At 34.8% G+C, this 12,525-nt stretch overlaps 1 protein-coding gene across 5 annotated transcripts in view, besides 1 other annotated feature; it reads right to left on the bottom strand.

Moving 5' to 3' along the window:
• Positions 1-12,525, bottom strand: part of CFAP299 (cilia and flagella associated protein 299) — a 642,486-nt gene that overhangs the window by 65,345 nt on the left and 564,616 nt on the right. The window lies entirely within an intron of this gene.
• Positions 611-750: an enhancer, noted in NCBI's record as "active region_21655". NCBI's record gives its function as "activates an Ori minimal core promoter by ATAC-STARR-seq in GM12878 lymphoblastoid cells {active_cell/tissue: GM12878}" and the evidence as "EXISTENCE:reporter gene assay evidence [ECO:0000049][PMID:35858748]".

Here is a 12,525-nt window from a genome sequence, read left to right as displayed (position 1 = left end):
ACTAAGTTTGGATGTTAGAGAGAAGCAGCTTGAGTTCAGAGAAACAGCTTAAAGGTGTAGCTTTGGAGAGGAGTCTGGCTGGGGATAGCCAGACTTTGGGGGAGGATTGCCATCCTGCCCCATCCCCTTTTCAACTCCCCATCCTGCTGAAACCAACTTTCATTGGTAATAAAATCCCCCACATTTACCACCTCTAATTTGTTCATGTGACCTCATTTTTCTTGGTCACTGGTCAAGAGCTCGAGCAATGAGTGTGGATATAAGAGGGCCCACTGAGCTGTTAACACTTAAACCATCCACAGATGGCAGAGCTAAAAGAGCCCTTACTGTAACACTTCCTCTGGAGCTTCAGGGGTTCTGGGCACCCCACTGGACACTGTCATGAGGCCCCACATGGAGTTTGCTCCTGCCAGTGCCCAAAAGCACTTGCCCTGGCTCCTGCACCGACTCACCTGCATGCTCCCTCCTGCAAGGGGTTGAGTGCCGCAGGCTGAGTAACTGAGGCACCCCTGTTGTGAGGCCCGTGAAGAGGTCAGGGAAATACCCTGTTTCAATTTAGTTTTCTCTAATCAGAAGCTCTCACAGGGGAAATCAATGTGAAACTAAGTTATGTGGGGAAAGACACAGGGCATAAGGAAACAACTGTGCTCAAATAGATTATACAGAAAAGGCATAGCTCTAGAGATGTCAGGTGTGGCAGAAGATTCTTGATATTGTGGTTCCTGACTTGCAGAAACATGTTTCTGGAGCTGTCCACAGTGGTAGGAGCTTCGTGGTTATGCAGTTTTCTGATTGTGGTAGAGGCTGCAGCTTTTTTGCCACCTCAGTTCTTCAGCATGGCTTTAAGAGTTATTATGAAAGCTAAACCTAGAATCTGTTTCTTCAGTCCTCCCAGTGATGTTGTGAACTACTTATATGCTTATTAAATTCCTCCATGCTTAAACCAGCTTCAACAGACTCTGTTGTCTGCAATTAAAGGATCCAGACCAGTACATCTAATAGTTTGTGTGTTTATTTTATCTATCAGAATATAAGCATTCCAAGAGAAGCTAACCATTCCTGTCAATTGCTGAATTCCCAATGCCAGGCACAGCTTAGCTCAGAGTAGATGCCTAATATATAATTACTGAATTTCATAACATAAAGTTTTAGAAATGTTTAATCTCTTGTACAATGATGAAAACTGCTCTGGAATACCCTATAAAGAACTTCCAGTAGTACACCTTGCTGTTTTTCTATGTGTCTTATATTCCATTTCAGCTTGGTTCTAGAATATATCCAGAAGGTTAAGATTACTGAATAGGTAGCAGCTTCTCACTGTTCCTAAAATTTGCCATGCCTTTTTCATTTTTCTGCTGATATTTGTAATGCCGTGCCCTTCACTTTTCTCTTGGGTGAATTCCTATTCATTTTTCAAAGATAAACTGAATTATTTTCTTACAGCAGTCTTTCCCGTACTTCCCTCAAATGATTGATTAATCACACCTTAATCAGATGCATTAATATAGCCCTTATAATAAATTATTATAGCAGCAAGGTATGATTGATTAATCACACCTTAATGCAGATACATTATTATAGCACTTCTAGAATAACAGATAATATTTTGAGCCATTGTGTTATAAGCACTAGGTGAAATAAAATCTGTCAGTGAAGGAATATATTAAATTGACATAATGCTTGGTTGTGTAAATGTGTTATAAACTACAAAATGTAAGTCATTGCCTTTATTATTACATATGGAAGCAGAGAAAAACTATCATTCAATTTCATCTATTTCTCCTTCCAGGTAATTAGACTTCCAATTTACTCCATTTATCTTCTTTTTGTGGATTTACTTGTGTTACATATGATTTGACTTTTTCAAGCCTTGAAAAGAGGGCCAGTAAGCCCACAGAAGCCACATGTTAATTTGTGTGTCTGATCTGAAGAGTAGAAAGCTCTTTCAGAGTAGTTCCTCAGAAAATAGAGGACTAATTCACTTTGAAACTAGTTCATTCCTGCCTATAAAACATTACAATACTGCCCTCAAACAAATATATGTAAACAAATCCGTTTACTCATTTTTTCCTTTTACTTTCCTTTTTAATAAATTGTATCCACTTTGAAAATTATGTGTATTACATGTGTATTACAAAATAACCATTCTGGATATTTTGGTATTTTTAAAATATTATTTCATATATTAGGTGATTCAAATTCAAACAGTATAAATACCTAATATTGCTAATGTTTTCAGTTTTCATTAGAGACTGTGGTAAGCACATGTAAGAGAGCATGTACTATTTTGTATTCTGAATATTTTATTTGAAATATTTAATATTTGTAACATTAAATACAATGTCTCTCCACTGATTTTTATTTTACTTTTGTTCATAAACTAAAATTCACATCAAAAATAAAATTAAAAATGAAAGAAGTTATATTTACAATATTAAACATAAGCCAGATGTGGAAGCATGCTTTTCCAGATTAAACATTTACTGAGTTGGCGGGAAAAAACCTTCTTCCTCATTCATCCGAGTGAGTTTTGTTTGAATGAATTCTAATTTCTTATTCCTTTACCCTTTTCACCATCTTTCTGTTGCTTTGTTTACCTAATAGTAGTTTTTCCTTACCACTGCCTTCCACAGTTCTGCACAGCTGCTTCCCAGATGAGCTAAGTAGCTCATTTTAATCTTTAGATGAATGGGCTGCTCCTATATAGCTTTGACAGAAGGAGGGATTGAAATCTCTTTGGGACAGTTATCATTGGTACACATTTTTATTGAGGGAGTAGTCAGAGGAATTTGAATATAGAAAAACATCAAACATTATCTAGCTCTGCATCCTTCAAATTATATATATATTTTCTGCAAACTAATGAAGACAAAACATATATTTGTGAAAAAATGTAAAGGCATATATTCAGAAAACAAATAACCTGACTTTTCAAGCCTATTGACATTTCTAATCTTGTGCTTATTTACTAAAGGTTGATTAACCAAATTCTACAAAGTATTTCACCCAAATGCCTTTAAAGTGGTTCAAATTAATATGAGTTGAAGAAACAAAGCAATAACTCATTTTAGTTTTTGAGGCATAAATGACAAATAAAAATTGCATATATTTAAGATTTACAGAGTGATGTTTTGATATATGTATACACGTGAAATGATTGCCACAATCAGGCTAATTAACATAGCCATCATTTCACATAGTTACTAGTGTGTGTGTGTGTGTGTGTGTGTGTGTGGTGAGAACATTTAAGAGCTATTATCTGAGCAAATTTCAAGTATATAATAGGGTATTGTTAACTATTCACTTTGCTGTTCATTTAATCTCCAGAATTTATTCATCCTGCATAACTGAAACTTTGTCCAATTTGACCAGTATTTCCCCATTTCCATTGCCCCTGAACTCCCTTAATGTCAACCACTCTTCTACTTCCTGGTTCTGTGAGTGAGATTTTTTTAGATTCCACATATAAAGTGGGACCATACAGTATTTTTCTTCCTGTGTCTAGCTTATTTCACTTAGCATTATGTCCTCCACATCATCCACAAAAATAATAGTGTTTTCTTCTTTTTCAAGGCTGAATAATATTCCATTATATAGCTCTCTCTCTCACACACACACTCACACACATATCTGTACCTTAGAAACTGTGAATAATTCTGCAATGAACATAGGAGTTCAAATATTTGAGATAGTGGTTACATTTTTTTAAATATATATGCAGAAGTCGAATTGTTGGATCACATAGTAGTTAGATTTTTTAAATTTTTTAAGGAATCTCCACAATATTTTTCATAATGGCTGTACCAATTCATATTCCCACCAATATTGCACAAAAGAGTAAAGCTGTTTAAAACTTTATGTTATGATATTCGATAACTATATATTAGCATCTACCTACTCTGGGCTAAGCTGTGCCTCACACTGGGACTTCAGCAATTGGCAGTAATGGTTAACTTCTCTTGGAATGCTTATATTCTGGTACATAAAATAAACACACAAATTATTAGATGTACTGGTTAGGATCCTTAATTGTAGACAACGTGGTCTACTGAAGTTGGTTTAAGCACAGAGGTATTTAATAAGCATATAAATAATTCACAACATCTCTGGGGGGAACAAAGAAACTGACTCTAGGTTTAGCCTTCATAATGTACAAAGATTCTCTTTTTTTTTACATCCCTGTAAAGAAAAATCTTTTGTCTTTTTAATAATGCCCATTCTAACAAGTGTGAGGTGATATTTTATTGTGATTTTGATTTTCATATTTTTCATGATTAGTGAGGTTGGGCACCTTTTCATATATCTGTAGGCCATATGTACGTCTTCTTTTGAGAAACGTTTGGTTAGGTCTTTCAACCATTTTTTTTTAATTGGGTTATTTGTTTTCTTGCTGCTGAGTTGCTTGTGTTTCTTATATATTTTGGATATTAATCCCTTATCAGATGTGTGGTTTGCAAATATTTTCTCCCATTTCATAGATTGTGTCTTTATTCTGCTGATTGTTTCGTTTGCTATGCAGAAGCTTTTGTTAGATGCAATTCCATTTGTCATTTTTGCTTTTGTTGCCTGTGCTTGCTGGTTCATATCTAAAAAATCGTTGCCCAGACCAATGTACAGAAGCTTTTTCCCTATGTCATCTCCTAGCGGTTCTACATTTTCAGGTTTTATGTCTACATCTTTAATCTATTTTGTTTATTTTTATATACATTGCAAGATAAGGGTCCAATTTCTTTTTTTTTTTGCATGTATTCATTTAGTTTTTCTAGTATCATTTATTGAAGAGACCATCCTTTCCACATTGTGTTCTTGATACATTTGTTGAAGATCAATTGATCAAAAATATGTATATATTTCTGTGTTCTCTATTCTGTTCCATTGGTCTATATGTCTGTTTTTATGCTAGCATCATACTGTTCTGATTACTAAGCTTTATATTTTGAAATCACTCAGTGTAATGCCTACAATTTTGCTCCTCTTGCTCAAGGTTGCTTTGGGTATTTGACGTTTTTCATAGTTCTGTATGAATTTTAGGATTTTGTTTACTATCTGTGAAAAATATTATTGGAATGAGGATATTGCAATGATTCTGTAGATTATTTAGGAAGTATAAACATTTTAATAATGTTATTTTTTTCAATCCATAAACATGGGATGCCTTCATCTGCTTGTGCCTTCAATTTCTTTCATCAATGTTTCATAATTTTCAGTGTATAGTTTTTTCACATCTTTGGTTAAATTCATTCCTAAGCATTTTATTTTATTTTTGATGCTACTATAAATTGGGCTTTTTCTTAAATTTCTTCTTTAGATAGTTTGTTGTTAGTGGATATAATGCATCTGTTTTTTATATGTTGATTTTTGATCCTATTTTACTGAATTGATTTCATTTATTTGCTCTAACATTAATTTTCTCGATGGAATCTTTAGAATTTTCTACATATAAGATTATGTCATCTGCAAATAGAGATAGTCATACCTCTTCCTTTCTGATTTGGAAGCCTTTAATTTCTTCATCTTGTCCAAAAGCCCTGGCATGAATTTTCAGTACTATATTGAGTAGAAGCGCTGTGAGTGAGCATTCTTGTCTTAATACTTATCTTGGAGGAAAAGCTTTCGGTTTTTCGCCATCGAATATATTAGCTATGAGCTTGTCATATCATGCCTTTATTATGTTGAGATATATTCCTTCTATACCTAATCTGTTCAGAGTTTTTATATCATTGAAATATATTGATTTTTATTAAATGCCTTTTTTATTTACTGAGATAATCATACAATTTTTATTCTTCATTGTGTGAAAATGGTGCATCACATTTACTAATTTGCATATGTTGACTCATACTTCACTTTGTTGATTGTTTACTTTGCTGTGCAGAAACTTTATAACTTAATGTGATCCCACTTGTCCATTTTTGTTTTGGTTGCCTGTGCTTGTGGGGTATTACTCAAGAAATTTTTGCCCAGACCAATGTCCTGGAGAGATTCCCCAATGTTTTCTCATAGTAGTTTCATAGTTTGAGGTCTTAGATTTAAGTTTTTAATCAATTTTGATTTGGTTTTTGTATACAGTGAGAGATAAGAATCTAGTTTCTTTTTTGGATATGGATATCTACTTTTCCCAGCACCATTTATTCAACAGACTGCCTTTTCCCTGGTGTATGTTTTTGGCACCACGGTGGAAAATGAGTTCCCTGTAGGTGTGGGGATTTGTCTCCGGGTTCTCTATTCTGTCTCACTGGTCTATATGTTTGTTTTTATGCCAGTACCATGTTCTTTCAGTTATTACAGCTCTGTGGCATAATTTGAAGTCAGATAATGTGATTTCTTTAGTTTTGTTCTTTTGACTCAGGATAGCTTTGGCTATTCTGGGTCTTTTGTCATTCCATATAAACTTTAGGATTATTTTTCTATTCCTGTGAAGAATGGCATTGGTATTTTGAAAAGGATTGCATTGATTCTGTAGATTGCTTTGGGTAGTATGGATATTTTAATAATATTTATCTTCCAATCATGAACATAAAATATTTTTCCACTTTTTTGTGATCTCTGCAATTTCTTTTTTTTTTTTTTTTTTTCCTTTAATCTAGGGCTTCTCAAAGCTTTTATTTTTTTTTTTATTTTTTTTTTAATTTTTTTTTTTATTATACTCTAAGTTTTAGGGTACATGTGCACATTGTGCAGGTTAGTTACATATGTATACATGTGCCATGCTGGTGCGCTGCACCCACTAACGTGTCATCTAGCATTAGGTATATCTCCCAATGCTATCCCTCCCCCCTCCCCCGACCCCACCACAGTCCCCAGAGTGTGATATTCCCCTTCCTGTGTCCAAGTGATCTCATTGTTCAATTCCCACCTATGAGTGAGAATATGCGGTGTTTGGTTTTTTGTTCTTGCGATAGTTTACTGAGAATGATGGATTCCAATTTCATCCATGTCCCTACAAAGGACATGAACTCATCATTTTTTATGGCTGCATAGTATTCCATGGTGTATATGTGCCACATTTTCTTAATCCAGTCTATCATTGTTGGACATTTGGGTTGATCTTTGACAAACCTGAGAAAAACAAGCAATGGGGAAAGGATTCCCTATTTAATAAATGGTGCTGGGAAAACTGGCTAGCCATATGTAGAAAGCTGAAACTGGATCCCTTCCTTACACCTTATACAAAAATCAATTCAAGATGGATTAAAGATTTAAACGTTAGACCTAAAACCATAAAAACCCTAGAAGAAAACCTAGGCATTACCATTCAGGACATAGGCGTGGGCAAGGACTTCATGTCCAAAACACCAAAAGCAATGGCAACCAAAGCCAAAATTGACAAATGGGATCTAATTAAACTAAAGAGCTTCTGCACAGCAAAAGAAACTACCGTCAGAGTGAACAGGCAACCTACAAAATGGAGAGAATTTTCGCAACCTACTCATCTGACAAAGGGCTAATATCCAGAATCTACAATGAACTCAAACAAATTTACAAGAAAAAAACAAACAACCCCATCAAAAAGTGGGCGAAGGACATGAACAGACACTTCTCAAAAGAAGACATTTATGCAGCCAAAAAACACATGAAGAAATGCTCATCATCACTGGCCATCAGAGAAATGCAAATCAAAACCACTATGAGATACCATCTCACACCAGTTAGAATGGCAATCATTAAAAAGTCAGGAAACAACAGGTGCTAGAGAGGATGTGGAGAAATAGGAACACTTTTACACTGTTGGTGGGACTGTAAACTAGTTCAACCATTGTGGAAGTCAGTGTGGCGATTCCTCAGGGATCTAGAACTAGAAATACCATTTGACCCAGCCATCCCATTACTGGGTATATACCCAAAGGACTATAAATCATGCTGCTATAAAGACACATGCACACGTATGTTTATTGCGGCACTATTCACAATAGCAAAGACTTGGATCTCTGCAATTTCTTTCATCAGTCTTTTATAGGTTTTCATTGTATAGATGTTTCATTTATTTGGGTAAATTAATTCCTAGGTATTTTCTTTTATTTGTGGCTATTGTAAATGGGATTACTTTTTTATTTCTTTTTTAGATTGTTCACTGTTGGTATATAAAAATGCTCCTGATTTTTATATGTTGATTTTGTATCACGCAACTTTATTGAATTTGTTTATTGGTTCTAACAGCTTTTTGTGGAGTCTTTAGGTTTTTCCAAGTATGAGATCATATCAACTACCAACAAAGATAATTTGACTTCTTCCATTCCAGTTTGGATGCCCTCTATTTCTTCCTCCTGTCTAAGTATTATGGCTAGGACTTCCAGTACTATTTTGAATAGTAGTGGGGAAAATAACATCATTATCATGTTCCTGATATAAGAGGGAAGGGAAGGATTTCAGTTTTACCTCATTCAGTATGATATTAGCTGTGGATCTGACATATATGGGTTTTATTACATTGAGGTATGTTCATTCTATTCCTAGTTCTTTGAGGATTCTTATCATTAAGAGGTGTTGACATTTATCAAATGCTTTCTCAGCATCAATTGAAATGACTATATGTTTTTTGTCCTTCATTCTGTTGATATGAGGTATTACACTGACTGATTTGCATATGTTGAACCATCCTTGCATCCCTGGGATGAGTCCTACTTGGTCATGATGAATGATCTTTTTAATGTATTTTTGAATTTGGTTTGCGAGTATTTTGTTGAGAATTTTTGTATTTATATTCATCAGAGATATTGGCCTGCAGTTTTCCATTTTAGATATGTTTTTGTCTGGTTTTGGTATTAGGGTAATGCTGGCTTTGTAGAATAAGTTTGGAAGTATTCTGTCTTCCTCTATTTTTCACAATAGTTTGAACAGGATTGGTAGTAGTTCTCTATTAAATTTCTGGTAAAATTCATCAGTAAAGCCATTGGGTCCCAGGCGTTTCTTTGGGAAATTTTTATTTCACCTTCAATCTTGTTACTTATTATCGGTCTATTGAGGTTTTGGATTTCTTCCTGATTCAATCTTGGTAGGTCATATATGTCTAGAAATGTATTCATTTCTTGTAGGTTTTTCAATGTATAGGCATATATTTGCTCATAGTAGCCACTAATGTTCCTTTGAATTTCTGCAGTATCAGTTGAAATGTCTTCTTTTTCATCTATGATTTTATTTATTTGAGGCTTCTCTCTCTTTTTCTTAGTCTGGCTAAAGGTTTGTCAATTTTGTTAATCTTTAAAAAAAAACTTTTATTTTGTTGATCTCTTGTATTGTTTTGTTCATTTCAAATTCGTTTATTTTTGCTTTGATCTTTGTTATTTCTTCCCTACTAATTTAGGGTTTTGTTTGCTCTTGTTCTTCTAGTTCTTTAAGATGCATTGTTAGGTAGTTTATTTGAAGTTTTCCCTCTTTTTTTTTTTTTTTTTTTTTTGCTTAGGCACTTATAGGTATAAACTTCCCTCTGAATACTGCTTTTGCTGTATCCCACAGGTTTTGGCATGTCGTGTTTCCATTATTATTTGTTTCAAGAAAATTTTCAACTTCCTTCTTAATTATTTCACTGATTCATTGGTCATTCAGAAACATATTGTTAATGTTCAATGTGTTTGTATAGTTTCCAAAAATTCCTCTTGTTATTGATTTCTAGTTTTATTCCATTGTGGTTTCAGAACATGTTTGATATTGTTTCAATTTTTTTGAAAATTTAAATACTTGTTTTGTGACCTAACATATGGTCTATTCTTGAGAATGATCCATGAGAGGAGGAGAAGAATGTGTATTCTTCAGCCATTGAATGAAATATTTTGTAAATATCTATTAGGCACATTTGTTTTATAGTAGAGGTTAAGTCCGATGTTTCCTTGTTGATTTTCTGCCTGGGAGATCTGTCCAATGCTGAAAGTAGGATGTTGAAGTCTCCAGATATTATTGTATTGGGATCTATCTCATTGCCTCTAATAATATTTGCTTTATATATCTGGTGATGGGTGCACATATATTTCCAATCATTAAATTATCTTGCCAAATTGATCCCTTTATCATTAAATAATGATCTTCTTTGTCTCACACTTTTTTCTTGAAATCTATTTTGTTCAACATAAGTATAACTACTCCTGATCATTTTTTGGTTTCCGTTAGCATGGAATATCTTTTTTCATCCCTTTATTTTCAGTCTATCTGTATCTTTGTATGTGAAGTGTGTTTCTTGTAGGCAGCGGATCGTTGACCCTTGTTTTTTCACCCATGCAGCCACTCTATGTCTTTTGATGGCAGAATTTAGTCCATTTACATTCAATGATATTATTGATAAATAAGGACTTACTCTTGCCATTTTGTTATTTGTTTTCTGGTTGCTTAATGGTCTTCTCTTTCTTCTTTCCTTGCTTCCTTCTTGTCTACATTTTGGTGAAGGTGATTTTTCTCTGGTGATATACTTTACTTTCCTATTTTTTTATTTTTTTATATGCCCATTGTATGATTTTTGGTTGAGGTTACCATGAGGCTAGCATATACTGTCTCATAACCCATTATTTTAAGCTGATGACAACTTAATACGGATTATATACAAACAGGCAAAAAGAAAACTAATGAGAACTCTACACCTTAACTTCATCCTCCCACTTTTTAACTTTTTCTATTTCTCCTTATGTCTTATTGCACTATGTCTTGAAAAGTTGTTGTAGTTTTCATGGTTAATTAGTTCATAATTTAGTCTTTCTACTTAAGAGTAATTTATACCACAATTACAGTGTTACATAATTCTGTATTATTCTATGTGCTCACTATTACCAGTGAGTTATTAACCTTCAGTTGATTTCTTCTTGCTCATTCACATCCTTTTCTTTCAGATTGAAGAACTCTCTTTAGCATTTCTTCTAGGACAGGTCTTGTGTTGATGTAATCCCTCAGCTTTTGTTTTTCTGGGAAGTTATTTATTTCTCCTTCATGCTTGAAGGATATTTTCACCAGCTATACTCTTCAAGGGTATTTTTTTTCTTTCAGCACTTTAAATATGTCATACCACTCTATCCTGGCCCCTAATGTTTCCACTGAGAAGTCTGCTTCCAGAGGTATTACAGATCCATTGTATGTTGTTTGTTTCTTCTCTCTTGCTGCTTTTAGGATTCTTTCTTCATCCTTGACCTTTGGGAGTTTGATTATTAAATGTCTTTAGGTAGTCTTCTTTGGGTTAAATCTGCATAATGTTCCATAACCTTCTTGTACTTGAATGTTGATATTTCTCTAGGTTTGGGACGTTCTCTGATATTATCCATTTGAATAAATTTTCTACTCCTATCTCTTTGTCTACCTCCTCTTTAAGGCCAATAATTCTTAGATTTACCCTTTTGGGGCTATTTTCTAGATTCCATGGGTATGCTTCATTGTTTATTTTTTTTCTTTTGTCTCCTCTGACTGTGTATTTTCGAATAGGCTATTTTCAAGCTTACTAATACTTTCTTCTGCTTGATCAATTCTAGTATTAAGAGACTCTGATACATTCTTCAGTATGTCAGTTGCATTTTTAAACTCTAGAATTTCTGCTTGATTCTTTGCAATTATTTCAATCTCTTTGTTAAATTTATCTGATATATGATTCTAAACTTCTCTGGGTTATCTTGAATTTCTTCGAGTTTTCTCCTAACAGCCATTTTGAACTATCTGTCTGAAAGGTCATATATGTCTATTTCTCCAGGATTGGTCCCTGATGCCTTATTTATACTGGTGAAGTTACGTGTTCCTGGATGGTTTGATGCTTGTAGATGCTCATCAGTGCCTTGGCATTGATGAGTTAATTATTTATTGTTGTCTTCATAGTCTGGGCTTGTTTGTGCTTGTCCTCTTTGGGAAGGCTTTCCAAATATTTAAAGGGACTTGGGCCCCAAGCCCAATCGTGCTGTGATTTTTACAGGCTCAAACAGGTACTGTGTTGGTGGTCTTGGATAAAATCTGGAAACATTCTCTGGATTACCAGGCAGAGACTCTTGTGTTTTTCCCTAACTTTCTTTCAAACAAATGAAGTTTCTCTCTGTGTCGCACTATGTGGAACTGTGGGTGTGGTGATGCAAGCACCTCTGTGGCCACCATCATTGGAACTGTGCTGGGTTAGATCTGAAGCAAGAACAAAACTGGGCTTTGCCCGAAGCCCTTCACTTGAAAGTAAAGAGTTTCCCCAGGCCCTGGGCACATTCAGAAATGCTGTCTGGGAGCCAGGAATTGGAGTAAAAACCTTAGCAATTTACCTGATATTCTATTCTACTGTGGTTAAGCTAGCACTCAAACCACAATAAAAAGTGATTCCTGCTCTTCCTTCCCATTTCCACAGGCAGAGGAGCCACTCCCTGTGCCCATTACCACCACTAGTCCGTGGGGTGTTCTGCCAGGCCACCACTGATGTTCACTTAAAACCCAAGGGCTCTTTTGTCAGCTTGTGGTGAATGTTACCAGGCCTGGGACTCACCCTTCAAGGCAGTGGGCTCCCCTCTGGCCCAGGGCAGGTCCAGAAATGCTGTCCAAGAGGATAGGCCTGGACTCAGGGACACCAAGGTCCTGCTTGTTGCTCTA

This window comes from Homo sapiens, chromosome 4 (genome assembly GCF_000001405.40).
Source record: "Homo sapiens chromosome 4, GRCh38.p14 Primary Assembly".
NCBI lineage: Eukaryota > Metazoa > Chordata > Mammalia > Primates > Hominidae > Homo > Homo sapiens.
Note: the sequence above shows the minus strand (reverse complement) of the source record. Positions and strands in the feature narration are given on the sequence as shown.